At 36.9% G+C, this 25194-nt stretch overlaps 1 long non-coding RNA gene across 2 annotated transcripts in view; it reads right to left on the reverse strand.

Moving 5' to 3' along the window:
• Window positions 1–11141: 11141 nt before the first annotated feature.
• LOC107984015 (uncharacterized) overlaps window positions 11142–25194 on the reverse strand; it is a 49066-nt gene continuing 35013 nt past the window's right edge. The window contains exons 2-3 of one of the 2 annotated variants that reach the window (XR_001743980.1): window positions 16431–16509; window positions 11142–11282 (exon numbers count right to left, since the gene is read on the reverse strand). This is a non-coding gene — a long non-coding RNA (uncharacterized LOC107984015). Of the gene's footprint in view, window positions 11283–16299; window positions 16510–25194 lie in introns of both variants that reach the window. The other variant, XR_001743981.1, reaches the window with a different exon arrangement.

Below are 25194 nucleotides of genomic sequence, written 5' to 3' on the forward strand. Positions count from 1 at the left end.
GCTTCCTGCCCTCGAACATCAGACTCCAAGTTTTGGGACTCGGACTGGCTTTCGTTGCTCCTCAGCTTGCAGACAGCCTATTCTGGGACCTTGTGATTGTGTAAATTAATACTTAATAAAATCAGCTTTATATCTATGTATCTATATATCTATATATATATATAAAGGCATATATATATCTTTATATATAAAGGCATATATATATATAAATATATATATATATATGGGACTAAAGGGATATATTTATATAAAGGGACTAATACAGTATCTAAAAATTGCTAAACATCCCCTTAGGAGGAAACTCAGTCCTAATTGAGAATCACTTGGATAAAGCATTGAGGTGTGTGTATATATATATACACACACACACCCATATATATACATATTTAAACTCACCTATATATACACATCTATGTATATACTTAATACTATATATATATAATTCCTTTCATCAATATAGGCCTGATGCCTGTAATCCCAGCACTTTGGGAGGCTGAGGCAGGCGGGTCACTTTAGGTCAGGAGTTTGAGACCAGCCTGGCCAAATGGTGAAACCCCATCTCTACTAAAAATATAAAAATTAGCGGGGCATGGTGGTGCATGTCTGTAATCTCAGCTACCTGGGAGGCTGAGGCAGGAGAATCACTTGAAACCAGAAGGCAGAGGTTGCAGTGAGCCGAGATTGCGCCACTGCACTCCAGCCTGGGCGACAGAGCAAGACTCCATCTCAAAAAAAAGGCCTGAAAACAGTGACCAACCCAGTAACACAGAGCATCTATAGTACTAGGTTATATTAGCACTCGAAATATTAGTTCCCATTAAAGAGAAACCAGACTGGCTCAGCGCAGTGGCTCACACCTGTAATCCCACACGTTGGGAGGCCGAGGCGGGCAGATCACCTGAAGTCAGGAGTTTGAGACCAGCCTGACCAATATGGTAAAACCCCATCTCTACTAAAAATACAAAAAAATTAGCCTGGCATTGTGGTATGTTCCTGTAGTCGCAGCAACTCAGGAGGCTGAGACAGGAGAATTGCTTTAACCTGGGAGGTGGAGGTTGCAGTGAGCTGAGATCGGGCCACTGTACTCCAGCCTGGGCGACAGAGCTAGATTCTGTCAAAAAAAAAAAAAAAAAAAAAAAAAAAAAGAAAGAAAGAAAGAAAAGAAAAGAAAAGAAAAGAAACCAGCCCAGGCATGGTGGCTCTTGCTTGTAATCCCAGCACTTTGGAAGGCTGAGATGGGAAGATGACTTGAGCTCAGGAGTTCAAGACCATTTTGGACAGCATAGCAAGACCCCCATCTCTACTAAAATTAAAAAAAAAAAAATTAGCCAGGCATGGTAGCACACACTTGTAGTACCAGCTACTCGGGAGGCTGAGGTGGGAGGATTAATTGAACCCAAGAAGTTGAGGCTGCAGTGAGCTATGCTCACATAATTGCACTCCAGCCTGGGTAACAGAGGGAGACCCTTTCTCTAAAAAAAGTAAGAAATAAAAATCCAGAGCTTGTTGGGAAAATGCTGGGCTTCAGGTATGGAGCAGGAAATATACAAGATGTTCCTGGAATATCTTGGTCTACCAGATAGCAAGAAAGAAATTAAAGACCACTAGCCATGTTAAAAAGACTCAGGATCTAACCTAAGAAGGCTCAAACTAGTCAGAGGTGGAGCAACTTGATATTCAATAAATATAAGATTTATAACATATTGAAACTAAATATGTTTAAATTCATGGGTTCATAATAATATTTTTTCAAGCAGTTGATTATCTTCAGAAGACAACAGAGAACTAAGTCATTACCTTGAAAACTTATAAAGAAATGAATCAAGGATTTATCCAGCTTTTCCTCCACTAACCAAACAGATGGGCAAAAGTGTCTCTTTTAAAAACGTTTCAAACTAATAAATAAAAAGAAATGACAGATTAGAATATAACCATGTTGCAGACCCCAGTGATCTAATGGATATAGGTGTTGAGAATCAATGGCTGTTAATAGTACAAAAAGATAAACAACCAGACATAATATGCATCCTGATGAAAGAACACACCACCACCTATGGTCTTGCCAAAGAAATCACACCCAAGTCTGACCAAGTGTTTTAGGCCCAGCTGGCAATTTGCAGGAAATAAGGAGGACAGAGTAACATGCTAAACTGCACCAGGAATATGCAATTAGCAAAATTCACATTGTGAGAAAACTCTATAATAAAGGGGCCCCAGTTCTTCCACAGTGAAATTGTTAAGGATAGAAAGGCGTGGAAAAGATGAAAGCGATGAATAGTCTGAAGATGAAAAGAGACCTAAACGATATATTGATTTTTTTTTTTTAGTGGGCAAGACTAAGCTATAGTATCTAGGGATACATACATGAGTGACAAAACCTTACAGAAACGTCAAGATGGATGCTTAGAAATATGTGGGACAAAAACAAAGAATGTCAGGTTAGTGGCTACTTGTGGAAGAAAAATCTTCTGGGGTGGCAGGCATAGTTCTATTTCTTGGCCTGAGTGATGTTTACCAGGATGTCTAATTTGTAATAATCACTGTTATACGCTTATTCTCTGCGATTTTCTGTATCTGTTTTTATTTTATTTTATTTTTGTAGAGACAAGGTCTTGCTCTGTCACCCAGGCCAGAAGGCAGTGGCATGACCATAGGTCACTGCACCCTCTAACTCCTGGGCTCAAGGGATCCTCCAGCCTCAGGCTCCCCAGTAACTGGGACTACAGGTTTGTGTCACTATGCCCAGCCTGTTTTTATTTGATAATGTAAATATTAAAACAGAGAGAGGTGGGAGAAGTTGTTATCAAAAAGAATGTTTCTATATCTACTCAACTAGTGACTGAGTGGTCATTTTTTTTCATGGTTTTGATCAGTTTTGGTTTTGGTGATTTGGGTCAGTTTTGGTGGAGCAATATAGCTGTAAAACAGACATAAGTAGGGTGAAGTGTGAATGGGAAAGGAGAAAGAGGAAAGCACAAGTATAGATAACTCTTTCAAGAAATAGAGCTGTGAAGGAAACTGAGAGATATGGCAATACATAGAGAGTTACGTCTAGAAAGGAGAGAGAAGTGTTTAAATGCTGCGGGAAGCAGCCAGCAGAGAGAGGTAAAAGGATATAGGGGAGAGACTCAATGGCCAAAACTTAAGAAATTTGACAACTAAAATTAATTATCATAGAACTAGATAATCCATTTTTTAAAAAAGTAAAACCCATGAGTCTATGGTAATGTCATTCATTCATTCACTCAATAGAGGAGGAGAAGGGAAAGCTCTTCCTTCTAGTAAAATGTCAACTAATAAATGTGGAAGGAATGGTAGAGTTGGAAGGTAGTGAGTGAAAGATTAATGAAGAACAGAATATTAATATAGTCTCAAATTATCCCCCAACAATACCTTATTAATTACAATGGGAAAAATAATAACTTTACAGTATAGTAATATGGCAGACATCACTTTAACCAAGTGAATATTACCAATATTGGACTGGAGCAAACCAGTATCAAGTATCTTCTGTAAAATATACTGAAAGAGATGCAAAATTATACTGGTGATATCCCTGCCAAAAATGAAAAACTTAAATTCAGATCATGAAGAAGCCACAGACAAACCCAAATTAAAGGACATTCTAAAAATTAATTGGTATTTACTCTATAAAATTGTTAAAGTCAAGAAACACAAAAGAAAAGGTGAAGAACCATTGAGGAACTATTTCAGATTAAGGAAACTAAAGCTATATGACAATTAAATGCAAGAGTCCTCCCAGACTGGATCCTACAGCAAGAAAAGGAAATAACTATAAAGGTGTGGTAATTCCTCAAAGAGCTAAAAGCAGAACTACCATTCAACCCAGCAATCCCATTACTGGGTATATACCCAAAGGAATATAAATCATTTCATCATAAAGACACATGCATATGTATATGCATTGCAGCACTATTCACAATAGCAAAGACATGGAATCAACTTAAATGTTCATCAATGGCAAATTTGATAAAGAAAATGTGGTACATATACACCATGGAATACTATGCAGCCATAAAAAAGAATGAGATCATGTCCTTTGCAGGGACATGAATGGAGCTGGAGGCCATCATCCTTAGCAAACTAACATAGAAAGATAAAACCAAATACCTAATGTTCTCACTTATAAATGTGAACTAAATGATGATAACTCATAGACACAAAGTGAGACACAAAGTGAGACATAAACAAGCACTCTGGCCTACTTGAGGCTGGAGGGTAGGAGGAGAGAGAGGAGCAGAAAAAAGTAACTATTGGGTATTCAGCTTAGTGCCTGAGTGATAAAATAATCTGTACAACAAATCCCTGTGGCATGACTTTACCTATATAACAAACCTTCACATGATCCCTAAACCTATAATAAATGTTTTCTTTAATAAATAAAATAACTATAAAGGACAGTAATAGGAAAACTGATGGAATTTAAATATGAACGCTGGATTAAGTAATAGCGTTATGTCAATGTTAAACTTTGTGATTTTGATCATTGCCCTATGGTTATGGAGGAGAATTTCATTGTTCTTAGAAAAGAAACCTGAAGTATTTAGGAGTTAAGAGCTAAACTGTCTCTGCCAATGGATCTGAAATAATTCCTCATGGAGAGAGAGGGGGTGCTAAAGTAGATGAGGCAAAATGAAAATAATTGGTGAATTTGGGTAAATGGGATTTTCTTGTACTATGGCTGCACCAGCTTTATAGGTTTGAAATAACATCAAAATAGAAAGTTAAGGGAGAGAAGAGGAATGACTGATGGATTGCGGTCAGTGAGGAGATGAAAGATAATAGGATTTAGAGTTCATGTGGAAGGAAAAACCTGAGATTGGAGGAGAATTCCTTTCACCACTGTAAAAGGAGGAAAAGGGGGTAGATGGGTTTTGATGTCCGTTTTCTGTATTGGTTGAGTTGGGGGAAGAAAGACTTGGTTTTATCATTTTATCAGCAAGGAAATTAATCTCTATATTGGTCACTTCCACTTCTGAAAATCAACGAAAAAAGGAGTAAGCACAAGCTTGGAGCATATGGAACACTGAGTCTTAGGATATGCAAAGGAGAGGTTTAAGCGGACTGTGTGAGCCCATAAGCCTCCTCCTTTGTATGTGGGAGAGAGACTGGGAGGAGGAGAGCATCAATCATGCAGGAGGGTCCCCCCACTCACTGTTATTGGGGAGAGAGTGGTTCAGAACATAGTAAGGCACTTAACATCCATTAATGCCCAAGTGAGTATGCCCAGTTTTGGTACTGCTTCTGAGTTTCCCTTGTCAGTTTGCATAGAATGAGCTTTTGGGCTCTTTTGAAACTAAGGCATAAAACGTGTTTCACCTGCAAATTGTTTGTAAAACTGTTTGCTTAGTCATGGCTCAAATTTAAAACCTGTTTGTGGAAAGATGAAATCTTACAACAAATGGTGAAATATTCAGGTTATAAACCTGGTCTCTGTAAGTACAGAACAGCATTGCTTTCATGGTTTTCTATCACAATGCCCCAAAGAGACCAATAATCAAGATAGATGCAATGCTCTTTCACTGAAAAGTGGGCTTTTCTTCCTTCTGATCTCTCAAAATTTTCACCGTTACCTCTTTACAGCTTGTTATAGCAATGATTCAATCAATGGCAAGATGCACTATAAAGGCTTAAAAATGAGTAAAAATATGACCACCAGAGACATCTTCATCCTTACAATGGTAAGACTGTTCAAATACAAAGTTTAAATATACTGTTCTCTACACATGGGAAAAGATAATGCTATCAGGTTTTTTTTTTTTTTTAAATGAGAGTGTCTACCCATTTAAATGAAGTAAAAACCTGTTCCTTTAATTTTAGAAGTTAGAAAATTTATTAACTGGATATTTCTAGATCCTGTTCCTCTCAAAAAATTTTACTGAAACAGATGGGTAGATTCACCCCAGATTCCATAAGAGAAAGAGGTTTGTACAAGTTCTTCCCAGGCTAGGGTCTAGACTAACATTTTCAAAATTGCATATTTGGTGGGTCTTTCTGAGGGGAAACAAAATAATCACCATATTGTTCAAAGAATTACTATGACATATGTCTTTGAAATAACCCTTTTGGGAGAAATAAATGTGTGGAGAAGAATTGCATATATGTCCTCTCTCAGTCATGAACTGAACAATCAGAAAATATAGAGAATCCATCAACTTGTGAAGCACAGTTTTGTAAGGTTACTCATGGAATTAACAAGCAAAAACCTCTCAGCAGCTTATGTCAATTTTTCAAACAAAAAAAAATCATTTATTCACAAGTTACCCCAAATACTTGTTTTTACTGTTTACCTGACATCTAAAGTAAAATACAGAATAAAATAAATTTCTCACCAATAGTTCATTAGTTTCCTCCTGATGTCTCTTGGCACTATTTAAAGATTTTGAATAACTTGATTTTATGGCTTAAAATATCTTAAGATGTACTGGACCAGAATGGCTAGCTCTCTCATTACCTTGCCCTTCAAGGAGAGTTTTTTTTAAGCTCAGGATGAAGAGATGAACAGGAGAGGGGGCTTAGTGAGCCTCAGAAAGGGGCAGGCTACATCCACCCCTTGGAAGTTCAAGTTTATTATGTGATGCTACACCTGTGAATACGTTTCTTAACTTTCTATTAAAAGTTAAAAGCATCCAACTTAAAAAATATTGTTTTACAGTAAACTATATATAAATAACTTATAACTCTGTCATTGTGGCATGGCTGTTTTCCTTTATGTATATATTCTTCTTCATGAAAATATATTTTTCATATAGTTATAATAACATCACAAGCATCATATTTTTCAATTTTTTTTTCCTGCTTGTATCAGTCATATTCGGATAGAGGAATCTAGGAATCCTGGCTTGGGAGGCAGTCCATGAGTCCTTCTTACTTTCAGTCCTCTGATGAGATTACTCAGAAAGTTGGACAAGTGACATTGACTACTAGAAGGACTGCTGGCCCCAAATAGCTGGACCTTGGGCTCCCCAAAGATGGCGCAGGCAGCAGGCTAAGGAGGGAAAGTTATGTATGCATTCTTGTATACAATGCTGGTGGAGAGATGGGGAAGGACTCACAAAGCACAGGAAAATCTGCACCAAGATCTGGGACAAACGAATTTATATTGGATATAGGGCTAAAGGCAAATGGGTTTATGCATGACTGTCAAAACTATTAAGACAGTCACTGGAAAAAGAGAAAGAGAGGCATAGAGTAGAGATTTCCATTTGTTAAAGTCACTTCTATTAGCCACTTACATTTTTCATACAGTTATAACATTATATGCACTGATCTAAAAAATTTCATATATTATAACTTCATATAGTTATAATAACATTATATGCAATGATGAAAAAATATTCAATTTTTTTTCTGCTTGGATAAGTCACATTAGGACAGATGAATCTAGGAATCCTGGCTTAGGTGGCAGTCCTTGAGTCCCACTTCTGTTAGTCACTTAATAGCCACTTACTAACTGGCTACTAGTCATTTGTATTTCTGCTTGTTTCATGCCCTTTGCCAATTCTTCTATTGAGTTACAATTGTTCTTATATAGAAGGGATGTTAATCCTTAGTGTCCCACTGTAAGATGTTTCCTGTTTATAGAAGTTTTTGTTTTTTATATAGCCCTAAATATTCTAGCATTGTCATTAGTTATTATTTCTGTTGTTTTGACGTATCAAAAGTTTTCATCACCTACAGATTTATTAAATCGTCTCATAAAATTTTCTGTTGTTTTTGGTGGTTTCACTTTTTTACATTCATTTTTCTTTTTTCAATTTTTAATTTTTTTTATTATACTTTAAGTTCTGGGATACATGTGCAGAATGTGCAAGTTTGTTAAGTCTATGCAGAGTTTTTCATTTTATATAGATAGATAGGTAGATAGACAGATAGATAGATAGATGTAGAGAAAGGGTACATCAGCCTTTTATTATAAATAATAAAGTAATAAAGACCATTAGCATATTTTTGCTACTGCTGAAAAGGTTCCTTCTGATGAATTCTTAGTATCACTAGTCAAAGATGTCTTTGGCTCTTAACTCTATTTTCTAGAAGAATTATATTAACTGAAATGTAACTTGTAATGAATGTTGTTGGCAGGTAGTTCTGTAAGGTTTTGTTTTTATACCTTTTCACTCCCTATTCTGAGATCCACTATGAGAGATGGATATGATTTTATTCATGGGAACCAAGACTGTTTTGATAGGTCATGATGTCACATGAAATACTTCTATATGCCAGGTTCCTAATGGGAGCCACGCAAAACTAACAGAAAGCATGAACTCCTCTCTCTGGGAGCTCTACAAATGCTACATGTATAAATTTTTTTATCAGAACGATGGTAAATTAAATAAAAGGTTAACTAGTATAATGACTTTAATAATACGGAACATACTGATAAAAACTAGAAAAGCAGAATGCTATGTTCACTGAGCTATATACATAGATGTACATACATAAAAGGTAGTAAGGTAATGAGGGATACCAGGTTGGACAACTCTAGATGTTGAATTCTATGTAAACGGTGAATTCATTGAATTCTATGTAAATGGTGCATCCTGGTGTTTTACACAACTGTAGATCTGCAGGTAATATACACATCACTGGAATTCAAACATTGCTTTTGGGTGATAGAACTGTGTCTTTTTTTTTTTTTACTTTTTCTATACAATCTTCTGTATTTTAACTACATCTGAAAATAAAGTTCTGGTGCTTTAAAAACATATTTGAAAGCCACCAACCTAATTATATGGCCTCTTGTCATCTCAGATAATGTGTGAACAGAGAATTTGAATTGGAAAATAAATCTAAGCTACCTATTGAGTTTGATAATTAAATCTGGAATTTAAACTAGTGAATAGATAACCAAATTTAGCCATTGGATTATGAATTGTTCAATTTAATTATTCACCTAATATTTATTGAATGCCTGTATATCAGGAACTGTACCGGGGGACAAAAGCAAAAACATTCACAAATAAGTATAATATAATATCACAGAAGAAGATGTAATACAATGCATAATCAGAACACAATTGATTTTAGAATTGGTGCCCAATTCTAAAAGAAAGTGCCCGATAAATATGTATGAGTGAATGATGGATGATGAATAAATGAATATTATACCAATTTAGATGTCAAAGCAAAAGTGACATTTGGAGTTCACACACAGTTCATTTTATCCACAGGGCATGGGCTAGATGGAAGGTGGAGGAGAGGAGGTTTACTCAAATCCTGATATTGAGCACAAATTACACATGACAGATACAAAACAATGTGTCAGACATATTGTAGATTTATGACAATTATAACTGGACCATTTTAAAAGCCAGCCATATATTTAGACAGTTCTTAGTAGGAGCCATTCAACTAAATGTCAAATACCTAGCAAGTACTGTGATGCTTTACTCATTCATTCTATAGATAGCACTTACTATGAACAGCCTAAAAGTCAACCAGCAAATACTATGACACTTTATTCATTTTATCTATAGACAGTATTATGTTTGAGGCCCTGTGTTAGAAACTGGGGATAAGGAAAAGAAGCTCATAGCCTAGGAGGAAATACTTGTTATCATCATTGTGATTACAATGGAAGCGTGGACCTGGCATTATGGGAGTGTCAGGGAAAGAAATATAACAAGGCTATGAAGTCAGTCTTTAGGAGTTGGTGTGAGAATATTGAAGGATAAAAGAGACTTATACAGGGAAAGAAGAACTTACTAGGCAGAAAGAAGACTATGCACAAGGATGAGGAGGTGACAGAAAGCAAAATATCATTAGAGGCCAGCAAGTGTGGTCTGACTAGAAGAGGTGATGCTTGTGGAAATAGGATGATGGAGGGCAATTGCTGAATGGGAAAAATCTGGGGCCTCTGAATGTCATGCTAGGGAATCTGAACTGCATCACAGAGAAATAAGAAATCACCAAAGACCACTGTTGCTAGGCAGAGCAAACATCTGCCTGTTTTGAAGGTTTTAGGCTGATTTTTAAATTTAGGATTGTTTGAGATAGAAGATTCTAAAAGGAAATGCATTTTAAATGACCTAAGTTTTTACATTGACAAGCTGTGTGTAAAAGACAGTCAGCTTGACCCAAGGAAAATGACTTGCAGAATTTTAGTGTGCAAAATATTTATCTTAACCACTTACTGAAAAGCTTCTTCTCTTCCTTGAAATTGTTGGCATAGTTATCCCTTTCCAGATTACTAAACAATTAATCTTTTTTCTGTTGATGTATTAACTGCCATTTTTCTCTAATAGTCCCATTTAGGATCAAATCCAAGTCATCTGTCCCTCTCCGGGTACCAGGAGATAAGTTCCCAGGTCAGGTGGTGCACAGAGGCCCTTGTAGTTTGAAACAATGCCAGTAAGCAGTGTAAAAACTGACACCTCGCCCCATTAAGACACCTAAGCCATAGAAAGAGACTGATTCATTTCAATTACGTATGAATCTCTCTCCTTCTCCATGGTGGTAGCACCAGCAATGTCTGAAGTTTGGTTTTGTCTTTGGTTTGTAATTCCAGATTACAGCTTCCTTAGCATCCAAAAGATTATACTAGTTTCTACACAGAAAATTGTTAGTAATAACAGTTTCTACCCTAACAATTTTTGTAAAACTTCTCTTCTGGGCATTCTGTGTATTCACTAATTGGCAATTCTTTAGATCCCCCCAAAAATCATTCTACCTAATTTAATTTCATATACTTGGCATTTTTTAAATGTGTCAAATAATCATGGTGTTTCCCAATTTTTCAGATGAAAATGTTTCTTTACAGAGATGGGAAAAACCATTCCAGATCTGAAAAAGAGCATAAGCAAGACTCTCAGGAATGAGAGTGTACAGAAAATTCCAGAAGGCCACTGTGGCCACAACGACTGGTACATCTGAGAGGTAAGCCTCCAGCAGGAGGTGGTCTCATACATCACAGAAAGACAGGACTGAGGGGCACTTCCTGGAAGCAGATGGGTGTGAATGAAGGACTTCAGGGTAAGCCAATGACATGCTCAATTTGAATTTTAAGGATTCATTCCTGTATTATTGAAGAGAATGGATTGAAGAGAGCATTCCTTGGATTCTGGAGACCACGAGAAGCCTATTCAAATACCCAGAACAAAAAACGATGAGGCAGTGGGAACCGAAGGTACAGAAGATACTTACGAGGAGGAAAAAGTGACTAGACTTGATTATTGGCTGGATCTTGCAAAATAGAGAAAATTCAGGAATTTAGGATGACCCCAAGCTTCCTTCATTGTATCCTCTGGGTAATAAAGCAGATTCTACAAAAAAAGAATACAGGAGAAAGAAGTTTTGAAATCTATAGTGATAACAGCTAAATTTATTGCATCCTTCTTGATCATTCACTGTGCTGAACGCTTTGTATTATCTTATGTCCAAATCGAGTTCGATTTGGGGCATGATGAGTTTTGAGAGGTCCACAACTATCCAGGTCAACATCCTCACCATCGGCACGTAGGATATATGAGCCTGCAGCTTAGAAGAGCTGGTTGGTTTGGAATCAGACTTTTAGAGTCCTGACGATAAGAATAGCTAACATGTATTGAATGCTTACCACATGCCTGGCACTGTTCTAAGCACTTATGTAATTTACACGTTTAATTCTCACAACACCCATAGGAGGTAGGAATGAATTCATTATGCATCATGAATTCTTTTTCATGAAATAGGAAAAAGAGGTTCAATAATGAATGTTAACTGGCTTGCTAAGGTCACAGAGCTAGTATACAGCTGAGCCAGAATCTGAATCAGGGATCATATTCTTAATTCCTCAACCTTGAGGTTGAAGACTCAAAGAAAGTAGCCAAAGTAAGAACCCTGGACCACACCAGGGCTCCTTTAACAGTAGATTCACTCTATGGCATTTTCAATTGTGTACTGATATTCTACAACCCAGGGAGCAAATGTCATGTCCTGTAGGGAATTTAGTTTTAAAAACTGGGTTTGAAATTTTCCTTTGTGTGATTTTAGACAAGTAAATTTATCTTTGTGAGCTTCCATTTTTCCTCTTCATCTGTCAAAGTTGCATAATATCACCCAAAAGAACTTTTCAAGAATGAAATAAAATGAATTTATTTGAAAGTGCAGCACATGGTGAGCACTCTCTAAAAGTCTATCATAAATTCAACTCTCCTCAGTCTCCAATAGCTTATTCACTTCTGAAAGTAACCACCATCACAGAATACAGAGAACAGAAAGTGGGGGAAAGATGGGATTGCAAACTGCTCTCCTTCTACGTCTTTTTTTTTTTTTCATTTTCAAAATTAACACGTTCAGGTAAGAAGGTAAGGCAAGAATATTTTTATCCACCCTAATTCAAGAATTGGAGTGAGTAGGTGATTATGTCTCTATCTTAGAGAAAGGAGAATTATGAAGTGTTACAACTTCTCAGGCCAGTACTGACTCTGTGTACTATAGCTACATAATATAGTCATCCCTCAGTATCCACCAGGATTGGTTCCAGGACCCCTGCAGGTACCAAAATCCAGGATGCTCAACCCCTTAATATAAAATAGTATGGCATCCGTATATAACCTACATACATCCTCCCTTATATTTTGAATCATCTTTAGATTACTTATAATACCTAATACAATATAAATGCTGTGGAAGTAGCTATTATACTGTATTGATATTTTATTTGTATTATTTTTTATTGTTGTATTATTACTTTTTGGTTTTCTTTTCAAATATTTTTGATCTGCAGTTGGTTGAATCTACTGATTCAGAACCCCTGGATATGGAGAACCAAGTGTAATTTCTTTAAAATGTTGTATATTAAAACATCTACAGCTATTTTGCATTCTCATATCATCAACAGTATTATTGCTGTCATTTAATTTTTAAAACCTTGAACTTTATGACTTTACAGTTTTTCTGTATTTAAGTGTAGCTTTATTGTATCTTGAAAATAGAATATTTTCCCTAAATACACAACTCTCTAATTGTTTTTATTGAACAAAGGCTTAAGTCTCTCAAGTACAGAGAGAATGTCTTGCAATTATTTAATACCATCCTTAGGTACCCAGGACAGTTTGGAAAACTTAACAGTAGTTATTGAATACAAAAATACATTCTATACACATTTCATAAAGAATCATTCTGCTAGAAGGTCACTTTCGGGATCACTGCTGTACTTAAATTGTAGCATGATTTGGGCATTTGGGAAAACTTGCCAGTAAATAAGCTTTGAGAAATTTGGCAGAACTATTTTTAAATAGTTTAAAATTTTAAACTATTTTTAAATGCATGGCTTCAGTCTTTCTCCATTCTTTTTTTTTATTATATTTTAAGTTTTAGGGTACATGTGCACAATGTGCAGGTTAGTTACATATGTATACATGTGCCATGCTGGTGTGCTGCACCCATTAACTCATCATTTAGCATTAGGTATATCTCCTAATGCTATCCCTCCCGCCTCCCCCCACCCCACAACAGTCCCCAGAGTGTGATGTTCCCCTTCCTGTGTCCATGTGTTCTCATTGTTCAATTCCCATCTATGAGTGAGAACATGTGGTGTTTGGTTTTTCATCCTTGCGATAGTTTACTGAGAATGATGATTTCCAATTTCATCCATGTCCCTACAAAGGACATGAACTCATCATTTTTTATGGCTGCATAGTATTCCATGGTGTATATGTGCCACATTTTCTTAATCCAGTCTATCATTGTTGGACATTTGGGTTGGTTCCAAGTCTTTGCTATTGTGAATAGTTCTTGAAGTTGGTTATAATCCACTTGATTAAACTATAATACGTAGTATGTTGATTCTTGAACAACAGTTTAAACTGCCAGGGTCCCTTTATGTATGGAGTTTCCTCTGCCTCTGTCACCCTTGAGACAGCAAGACCAATGCCTCCTTTTTCTCCTCCTCCTCAGCCACTCAATGTGAAGATGATAAGGATGAAGAACTTCATGGTGATCCTTTTCTACTTAATGAATATTAAATATATTTTCTCTCCCTTAAGATTTTTAAAATAACATTTTCTTTCTCTAGCTTACTTTATTGTAAGAATAGAGTACATAATACATATAACGTAGGAAATATGTATTAACTGATGGTTTATGTTATTGGTAAGGCTTCTGGTCAACAGTAGGCTATTAGTAATTACATTTTGGGGGATTCAAAAGTTATACACAGATTTTCAACTTCGCAGGGTTGAAACCCTAACACCTAACCCCCACGTTGTTCAATGGTCAACTGTACTTTAGAATCCGTCAATATTTCCTTCTTTCCAACTTTCCAAGTCAGAGGCATGAAATTCCCATTTCATACTCTATAATTTAGGTATTAATCTTTGACTCATCCTTGACATTCTGCGTACACCTACACAAAGTCTTTCAGTCTTGCAAAATACCACTGTTTCAGGGTTTAGCAAATGTAGGCCTACAGATCTTTCCCGCTAGGAGAAAAGTACCTCTTCCGACTTCTTGCTCTTTCCTGCTCCCTCAAACTACTTTAACATAAGACAAGTTTTTATCCTAGTGCTGTCTCTACTAACTTTTAAAAATTGTTGTTATAAGTGTTTTAAGTTAATTGATTGAAACTCTTGCAAGAGCTTACTAAAAACTTGAATGTTTCTTTTTTTTTTTTTTTTTGAGACAGAGTCTTGCTCTGTCACCCAGGCTGGAGGGTAGTGGTGCGATCTCGGCTCACTGCAACCTCCACCTCCTAGGTTCAAGTGATTCTCCTGCCTCAGCCTCCAGAGTAGCTGGGATTACAGGTGTGTGCCACCACACCTGGTTAATTTTTTGTATTTTTAGTAGAGATGGGGTTTCACTGCGTTAGCCAGGATGGTCTCAATCTCCTGACCTCGTGATCTGCCTGCCTTGGCCTCCCAAAGTGCTGGGATTACAGGAGTGAGCCTCTGCGCCCGGCCTCGAATGTTTCTTAAAGAATATGCCATCATTCATTCATCAGTGAGACCTTCAGACATTGCCCTCACACCATCCTGCTGCACAGCAGCTGAGGCTCCAATTATGAATACACTCCTAGCATTATGCTCTCATTATATTAAAAAATTCTATTATATTTAAATTGAATTTAGATTTCTGCTTCCCTTTAGGACTTCTTAGTACAATGAATCTTTTTCCCTAGCTACACAATAGAATCCATCTGGGGGAGCTTTTAAAATACTAATGCTTGTTCCTCACCCCTGAACAAATAAATCAGAATCTCTAGGGGGAAAGTCGGAGCTTCAATATATCGTTAAAGGTCTGAAGGTGCTTGGAAGGTGCAGCAAGGGTTTAAACTAGTGTTTTAGCAATTTAGAGGGTACTTAAGTTGAGTCTAGCCAGGTCTGCCCAATTATCTTCAGGGCAATACAAAGGCAAGACTTTGGTCAAGTCTAACATATAATGCAGGATTTTAAACTTTGTTTAAATCTTAGACCAGTCAGGCAACATAGCCAGATCTCATCTTTACAAAGACTGTTTCTAAAAAATTAGCTGAAAATAGTAGTACACGACTGTAGTCCCAGCTCCTCAGGAGAGTGAGGCAGGAGGACCGCTTGAGCCCATGAGTTTGAGGCTACTGTGAGCCATGATTGCACCATTGCACTCCAGCCTGGGCAACAGAGAAAGACCCCCTCCCTAAAAATTTTTTTTAATAGAAAACAATTACAAAATTTTTAAAAATTTCATTAAAATGCAGATTCAGATTCAGTAGGTCTGGGTGGTGCCTGGGATTCTGCATGTCTAACAAGCTGCAGGTGAATGACACAAATTATGCTGTGTGGATCACTTTGACTACCAAGGATATAATGCATTCGAATATTCCACTTACTGGTTCTTAACTCCTTCTGTATTCTGAGATCCTAAAAAATAACGATGACTGGGCCTAACCCCTGTGCAAATTTAACCGGACTGATTAGTCAGAATCAGAATCTCTGGGGCAGGGCATAGGCTCAAGAAGCTCCTCAGCTAAGTCCAAAGGACAACAAGTGACTGAAACCAGAATGTTCTAGCCTACCTTATGTAACCTATCTTGGGTAAACGAATTGCATTTGCTGCTATAAAATACCTAATTGCTAGAATTTGGAGGCTTAGACTGTGGCATAGAGGCTAATTGGGTGAGTTCCCCTAAGGTTTCATTTCAGATCAAAAGGTGGGAGAAATTCAGGAAGAAGACATTGAAGAATGCTTCATTGACTACTGGCATTAAAAAAATAATCATCATCTAAGTATTTTTACACGGTAGGATAACCCTAGCTACTAATGTAGTCATACCCAAACCAGAACCCTGTCAAGAGATTCTGAATTTGGTAGGCAGAGACTGACCACTCTGATTTGTCTCTGGCTCCTCTGATCATCTGTGAATCCTCAATTGCCCAATCCAATAAAGAATTCTTAGATATGTGACATCTTCCATTCTCCTCTTTGATTCTTCCTTGGTTTCCAGAGCAACGAACCTCTTTCTCCTTGTTCCTCTCAATTTATGTCAAAGCCTTCTCTTTCCTCCTTCGATGTTTTCTTCCTTCAAGGGTCCATCTGTAAACGATTAAAGAAGAGATCAAGAGATCACATTCATTCTCAGTGCTTCGACTTCCAAACATGCTGATTGAGAATCCATATCTTTAGGTGTGACCTCTCCCTTTACACCCAAATTTCCTACTGTCTTTAAAACATCTACTCTAGAATGTTTCTGAGGGACTTGAAATTAAAAGTGATTCAAATTGGATTTCACCTTCTTAAGTCAAATCCTCCTCATGTTATGCCTGGACTCTGTCAGTTGCTTCTTAACAAGATTACCTGCCTCAGTCTTGACTCTAGAGAAGGAAGCCGGACTATATCCTTCACAGCGTGATTCCTGCTTACCTTTTTATCCTCTTCTGCCAATACCTGAACCTCTCCTGTACAAGAATCTGTCCAACTTCTTATTCCTCCTGAGATAAGCTGGACTCTCCCTAGCTTCCACAACTTTACTCAGGATGCCCCATCTGTCAAAGATTCTCTTCCCCACTTTATCTTCCTGTTAAACTCAGTTCCTCAAAATTTAAGTCAAACACTCTCTAAAGTCCAAGATGAGTGGGTTAAATTCCCTCCTCCACGCCTCTGTTAAAAACAGCACGTTAAACTGAATTGCAATTATTTGTCTTACAAATCTCTCCTTCCACAAAACTAAACCCCCCCCATCCCCTAGAAGAGGAACTCTATTATTTCTTTTTTTGTTTTGACTGTTAGCATCACTAAAGGAAGTGCAGAATGAATGGCTTGCACTAAATGAATCCTAATGTTGCCATCTTTGACTCTCTATAAGAATTCAGCTTGCTCAATAAACATTTATTTGTTTAAGCTCAAATTGATTGCTTAGCTGCCCTAGAGAGCAACAGAATTAAGAGATGTCGATTTAGCAAATAGAAAAAACAAATAGTCATGTATTAGGATGAATTCAAATGTATAAATGATAGTTTTTATTAAGCAATGTGATAGCTGTTTCTGTATCCTTCATTCCACAGTTTAGCCCTAGGGGGAAAAAAAAAGCAGCGTGTTCACCATTATAAAACCAACTCGAGATTTGTCCAGAAAAGGTGTGGCAGTTTCAGGCGTATTTTTATTGTACCATGTTTTACATGGCTTTGCAGCCATTGAAGTTTGAACAATGCCAAATTTCCAAGCTAAATGCTATAAGTGGAAATTGGAGGCTACAGTTAAGTGAACAGAAATAGAACTGACAACCTAAATGCGTCAACATCCATGGAAAGTGACATCAGAAGTTTTGGTGTGCTATTACTTTTTTTTTTTTTTAAGGTGAGTGGGTGTTTTAAAACTTTTAAATGTTTAGAAAGTGGTTCAGCTTGGTTTTTTTTTTTAATATAATGTTTTTAACATGAAAGAAGTTCTCTATAAGGATTAAAAGCCATGTGAGTGCCAATGAATTTAAAATGTGTTTATGGCTAAAAACAGGGATATCAAGAAAGATGGTAGCTATCTCCCAAAAGATCTTATAATTTGGGGATTATGATAATAATCCCAAGTATATAGAAGAGGCCCCTGGAGTGTTGATCTCTTCATGACTATCAACAAAATGGACTGCCAGGGAACTGCATCACTGCTCGGTTCTGCATAAATCATTTGATGACAGTCTCCTTGCTGATATCCAAAAATTTTCCAAATGGATTTGTTAAGAGGACAGAAGAACAGATCGATTTAAAGTTTTTGAGCACAAAAGCTGAAAACATTCCCAGGCAATTATTCTCTATCATTCCACATACAGTTGTTGGTGTTATTACCTTCAGAATGAATTTGTGAGTCCAGAAAAGAACATGTAGATTATTCTATTAAAATATTGCACTATTACTGGTGGATAGCAGTTAGTAAAATGTCTGCTGAAGCAAAGTTAGTTTTTCCACTTTCCCTGCCTCTACGCACACACCTGTCTTATAGAACACTCACGCTTATCAGATTTGGAGTCTGTTTTCTTCAGTAGACTGAGTTCTTTGAATGTAATCATTTTATTTTTAATCATATTTTAACGTTTAGCACCTCACCAGTGCCTGACTCTTTTGTAAGCCAGAAGTGGTTTAATACCAGCGATTTCATATTGTTTAATCTAATAACTGTTCAATATTTAATAAACAATGCTCAATTACTTCATTCCATTGATCAGAATTGAACTTTTCAAGAAAAAAGTCAGCATTTATTCCACAAATTTCATGTTTTATGATGTTTATGAATCGATAGCAAATGTCAGTTAGTCAATTAATCAAATCTAGCCAGCTTGATACTATAGCGATTGGTCCAGTTTTTATGGCATAAACAATTCAGTTCTCATAGATACCAAATAAGAACTCTGTGCTTCATTTTTTCTGATAAATAAATTAAATTTTTATATCTCTTTTGATTATGAAAATATTTATTCTAAGAACAGTTTTTCATTGTGTGTTCATGTTTGTATGTTATATATATACATAGCTTTTGGCTTTTCTCAATATTTCTTAAAGACAAACAAGAAACTAAAATGGAAAAACATGTCATTCTGCCGATTTCTAACAGATATGGGATTTTCTTCCATGTTTAAGTGAGCTTTGGAGAAGATGCCTCCTTCTGAAGACAACTTCAGAGAAGTTCAGACCAGCCTGTAAGCTAAAGGATACTGGAGTCAAAATCAAACTGGATAGAGATATATTTTTTAATTGTGTTGCTCAAGTGATCATATGAGAAATTCTTACTACCATTCAACAACTTGTTTCAACAATTGCTCATTCGGTGACACAAAATAACCCTATAACCATTCCAAAGACCCATTTTCCCTTTTTGATGTATGCTTCTATCTCATTTCAATAAAATTTGGCTTTGAAACCACTATATTTTAATCTAAAATCTCAAAAATGTACTTTCCTTGTTATATTTCCCTCTCTCTGAGAAATACCTTATTTGAGTTTGCTTAGTGCTAAGCCACTCGTGGGTGTGCTATTTGACTTCCACTACTACACTAAGGCCAGTTTACTTCTAGCATCAGTGGTCAAGATGGCTTGATGCTATGAAAAATAATAATTATAGCAACAATTGTTTCATGTCTAATGCAGAAGCTTCACAATAATTTGTACATGTTTTAAAATAAGAAATATATGGTATAACTACTTTCTGAATGGAGAAAATACTTGTAGGCTGAATTAAATCTTCAAAAATCACCTTTCCAATTTCTCATAACATTAACTAAAAGAAATAAAATAGAAAAATGGACATTAAGGTCAATTATGGGGCAGTCCCAGTCAAGCAATCAGGCAAAAGAAAGAAATCAAAGGCATCCAAATAGGAAAAGAAGAAGTCTATTTTTCTTTGTAGACAATATGATTCTATATATAGAGGATTCTAAAGACTCTGCCAAAAGGCTCCTGGAATTGATAAATGACTTCAGTGAAGTTTCAGGATACAATATCAAAGTATCTTTTTCTATACACTAACAATATTCAAGCTGAGAGTCAAATCAATAATGCAATCCCATTTACAATAACTGCAAAAAAATAAAATAAAATAAATACTTGGGAATACATTTAACCAAGGCAGTAAAAGATCTCTATAAGGAGAACAACAAAACACTGCTGAGAGAAATCATAGATGACACAAATGGAAAAATATTTCATACACATAGATTAAAAGAATCAATATCATTAAAATGGCCATACTGCCCAAAGCAATTTACAGTTTCAATGCTATTCCTATCAAACTACCAATGTCATTTTTCACAGAACTAAAAAAGCTATTCTAAAATTCACAGGGAATCAAAAAGAAGCCCAAATAGCCAAAGCAATCATAAGCAAAAAGCACAAAGCTGGAGACATCAAATTACCAGACTTAAAACTATACTAAAAGCCTGTAATAACCAAAAGAGCATGGTACCAGTATAAAAACAGACACACAGACCAATGAAACAGAATAGAGAACCCAGAAATAAACCCACACATCTACAGTCATCTTATCTTAGACAAAGTTGACAAAAATAAGCAATGGAGAAAGTACTCCATATTCAATAAATGGTGCTGTAATAGATGGCTAGTCATATGCAGAAGAAAGAAACTGGACCCCTACCGTTCACCATATACAAAAATTAACTCAAGATGGGTTAAAGATTTAAATGTAAGACTTCAAACTATAAGAATCTTTGAGGAAAACCTAGGAAATACCATTCTGAATATCAGCCTTGGGAAATAATTTATGACTAAGTCCTCAAAAGCAATTGCAACAAAAATAAAAATTGACAGATTGGAACTAATTAAACTAAAGAGCTTCTGCACAGCAAAAGAAACTATCCCCCATCTCTACAAAAGATAAAAAAAAAAAATTAGCTGGGTATGGTGGTGTGTCTGTAGTCCCAGCTACTTGGGAAGCTGAGGCAGGAGGATTGCTTGATCCCAGGAGGGTCCAGGCTGCAGTGGGCCATGTTTGCACCACTGCATTCCAGCCTGGGTGACACAGAGTGAGATCCTGTTGAAAGAAAGAAAGGAGGAAAAAGAAAGAAAGAGAAAGGAAGGAAGGAAGGAAGGAAGGAAGGAAGAGGGAGGGAGGGAGGAAGGAAAGGAAAGGAAAGGAGGAGAAAAGGGAGGGAGGGAGGAAGGCAAGAAAAGGAAGGAAGGAAGGAGGGAAGGAGGGAAGGAAGGAGTAAATAAACAATCAACAGAGAAACAGAATAAACAGACAACCTATAGAATGAGAGAAAACATTTGCAAACTATGCCTCCAACTAAGGTCTAATATCCAGAATCTATAAGAAACTTAAAAACTGAAGCAACGAAAAACAAATAGCCCCATTAAAAAATAGTCAAAAGACATTAATAGACACTTCTCAAATGAAGACATACAAGCAGTCAACAAACATGAAAAAATGTTCAACATCGCTAATCATCAGAGAAATGCAAATCAAAATCACAATGAGATACCATCTCACACCAGTCAGAATAGCTACTATTAAAAGTCAAAAAACAACAGATACTATTAAGGCTGCAGAGAACAGGGAACGCTTATACACCATTGATGGGAATGTAAATTAATTTAGCCACTGTGGAATGCAGTTTGGAGATTTCTCAAAGAACTTAGAACTATTATTTGATCCAGCAATCCCATTACTGAGTATTTATCCAAAAGAAATTGTTCCACCAAAAAGATACATGCACTCGTATATTCATTGGAGCACTATTCACAATAGCAAAGACATGGAACCAACATAGGTGACCATCAATGGTGGACTGGATAAAGAAAATGTGGTATATGGAATACTACATGGAATACTACACAGCCATGAACTGTGGCTGCATCCAACATGGATGCTGCTGGAGGCCATTATCCTAAGCCAGTTAACACGGGAACAAAACCAAATATGACATGTTCTTACGTATCAGTGAGAGCTAAACATTGAGAACATATAGACAACAAGATGGCAACAATAGACACTGGGGACAAATGGGTGGAGGAGGCTGAAAAACTAACTATTGGGTACTATGCTTAGTACCTGGGTGACAGGGTCAATCATACCCCAAACCTCAACATCATACAATATATCCTTGTAACAAACCTGCACATGTACCTCCTGAATCTAAAATAAAAGCTGAAATAATAAAAGAGAAAACATCCATTATGGTATTACAGTTTCCTTCAATTCTTAAAAATAGCTCTTCTGGAAGCATAACAGACTTACAACAAATGCTATATATTTAAAGTGTGTAATATGGTTAATTCACTCTTGAACTACATACACTGTTGAGACCATCACCACAATCAAGATCATGAACACACCCATTATCCCCCAAAATTTCCTTATGCCCTTTATAATCTCATCTCCCCTGTTCTACCCAACTTCATTCTCAGGCAGCCACTAATCTGTCAGTATGTATTAGTTTGCATTTTCTACAGTTTTATATACACTGAATCACACAGTATGTACTCCTTTTTTTTGTCTGGCTTCTTTCAATCAGCAAAATGTTTCTGAGATTCACCTGTGTTGTTGCAGGTATCAGTGGTCCATTCCCTATTATTGCTGAGTAGTATCTCATTGTATGAATACACCACAGTTATTTTATCCATTCACCTGTTGAGGGACATTTGGCTTATTTCCAGTTAGGGACTGTTAAAAATAAAGCTGCTATGAACAATCTTTTTACAAGACATATGCCTTCATTTCTCTTAGGCAACCTCTAGGAGTTGAGTGGCTGGATCATATGGTAGGTGAACGTTTATTCAAGAAGCTGTCAAAATGTTTCCAACATACTTGTAATAATTTTATTTTCCACAAGCAATGTAAGAATTCCAGTTGCTCTACATCCTTGCCAGCACCCAGTATGGTCACCCTTTTTTGCCTTAGACATTCTAATACATTTTAATTTGCACTTCCCTAATGAGTGATGATGTTGGACATCTTTTTATGTGCTTATTTGTCATCACATGTCTCCTTTGGCAATGTGTCTATTCAAATGTCTTGCCCATATTTTTATTGCATTTTTGTATTCTTATTTGTAAGGCTTGAGAGTTTTTCTTACCAGATACAATCCCTTTCTCAAATATATGATTTGCAAACATTTTCTCCTAGTATGTGGCTTGTCTTTTCACTCTCTCAACAGCATGCTTGTGATCTTGACTCTATAACAAGCTCAAATCAAAGTGCTTTGGCCTTTGTGTCAGACACCCATTGGCCTACCCAGTGTGCAAGCAGGGCCATTCAAAGAGCAATGCTCCTTCAAGAATCACAAAGAACTTCATATCCATTTGGATTTTTTTTTTTAAAAAAGAGAAAATAACAAGTGTTGGCAAAGATGTAGAAAAACTGGAACACTTCTGCACTCTTGGTGGAGATGTAAAATGGTGCAGCCTCTGTGGAAAACAGTATGACAGTTTTTCAAAAAATTAAAAGCACAATTGCCATATGGTTCAGCAATTCCACTTCTGGACTACGCAAAAGAATGGAAAGCAGAGTCTCAAAGAGATATTTGCACACTCATGTGTAGTACTTAATACCATTGATCCATACACTAAAAAATGGTTAAGATGGTAAGTTTTGTATTATGTGTGTTTTACCACAATAAAATTTCTGTAATAAAAAAGTAAAAAAGAATCACGAAGAAGAATCACCAAGAAGGCATCACCAGTTGTCCTGGTCTTTAAGGTAAGTGTGGGCACAGAGCAGCCAGCAGGATAAACACTCTGAATGAGACACAATGTGAAGATGGTGCTGTCACAGTAGGCTTGACTCCAAAACATCTGGGCTTCAGCTTTTGTTCTGGCACTTACTAGCTCCAACTAGTCCATTAGGTTCTCTAGACTTTCTGTCCCCTTCTGTAGAATGAAGCAGAATTGAGTAAAATGGAGAATCCCTCCCTTGATTTTCATGTGAGGCTGTCTTGAGAATCCAATGATCATTTTTAAATTGAAAAGTACAATGTCAAGTTGGGGGGCAGGTGGGGAAGGCTACATAAAGGGTTTTATACCAGGAGATGCTATTGTTAATAAACAAGCGAGGTTTATGGTGGACATTCTAAAGAAGACCTGGTTTCTTCTCCCTCACAGCTAATTGGCCACACAAGGAAGTCTGTCTTAAATCCACTTCAGCCCAACATCTAATAATCTATTGTGTGACTATAGGCAAGTTACCTAATCTCTATGAGTTTAGGTTTTCTCACCTGTTTGATGGGAAAAAATGATCAGTAATAACATCACCAGGGATATGGGCAAAGTAAGTCAGGGTGCTTGAAACAGTTGACCTCAGTGCCAACAAATTTAGAGAAACACAGCCTCTGTAAGAACTCTCTGTCAGTAGTTTTCACATTTTAATGTGCCCATGAATTTCCTGAAGATCTTATTAAAATGCAGATTCTGAAACAGGAGGTCTGGACTAGGGCTCAAGCTTCTGCAGGTCCCAAGCTCCCGTGTCCCAGTGATGATGCCCCTGTAGGGACACATTTTGAGCAGCAAGACCCCGTACCGTGGGTCTCACTGTACAGTCTGCTTGTACATATCTTAGTCTCATTTTATAAAAAGAAAGAAATAGAAAGCTTTAATCAGGTCTCAATTCTATTAACTTCAGTTCTAAACTTTTTGAGCAATAGATACCTTAGACTTGGACTTACTTTAAACTTAAAAGAGTTTAACATCACTGTCATACAAATGATGGGAGAAAAGCCCAGAGCTGGGAAGCACTGTGCCTAAAGTCACAGAGCAACAGACCTCTCAGTCCTTACACTTGCCACAAATACAATGATTGAGGACAGTCTTCACCCAATTTCCTCTCAAACATACACTGTCATTGAGGAAGCCCAGGGACAGAAAGACAGGGATTGGAGTCCAAAGAGAAGCCAATGGAGGTATGATGCTTCTCTGTGATTCAGAATGTTCCTCTGAACCTCTCCAAAGAACCAGAAGCAAACGACCAGTCCATCCACATTGGAATCTATGCAAGACTTTATGTAAAGCATCCCTGGCCATCTCCACCCTGAAAATTATTTTCTTTCTTGTAAATTTCAAAATCACTTAGCCAGAATTCAGACTCTGCTTCTCCTTGATTTTGGGGTCTTTGAATCTCAGGCTTCAGCTTCTGACTAAAAAAAGGAGCCCTCTAGGAGAGCATAAAGCCACTGGAGTCCTCCTTGAAATGTAGGCAGTAATGGTGGCAGCCAACCCCCACCACCCCATGAGGCAGTGGCTCAGGGAGGGTATTTCTCTATAAGCATGAGTAACCACTCCAGCTTCC

Source organism: Homo sapiens, chromosome 6 (assembly GCF_000001405.40).
Source record: "Homo sapiens chromosome 6, GRCh38.p14 Primary Assembly".
Lineage (NCBI taxonomy): Eukaryota > Metazoa > Chordata > Mammalia > Primates > Hominidae > Homo > Homo sapiens.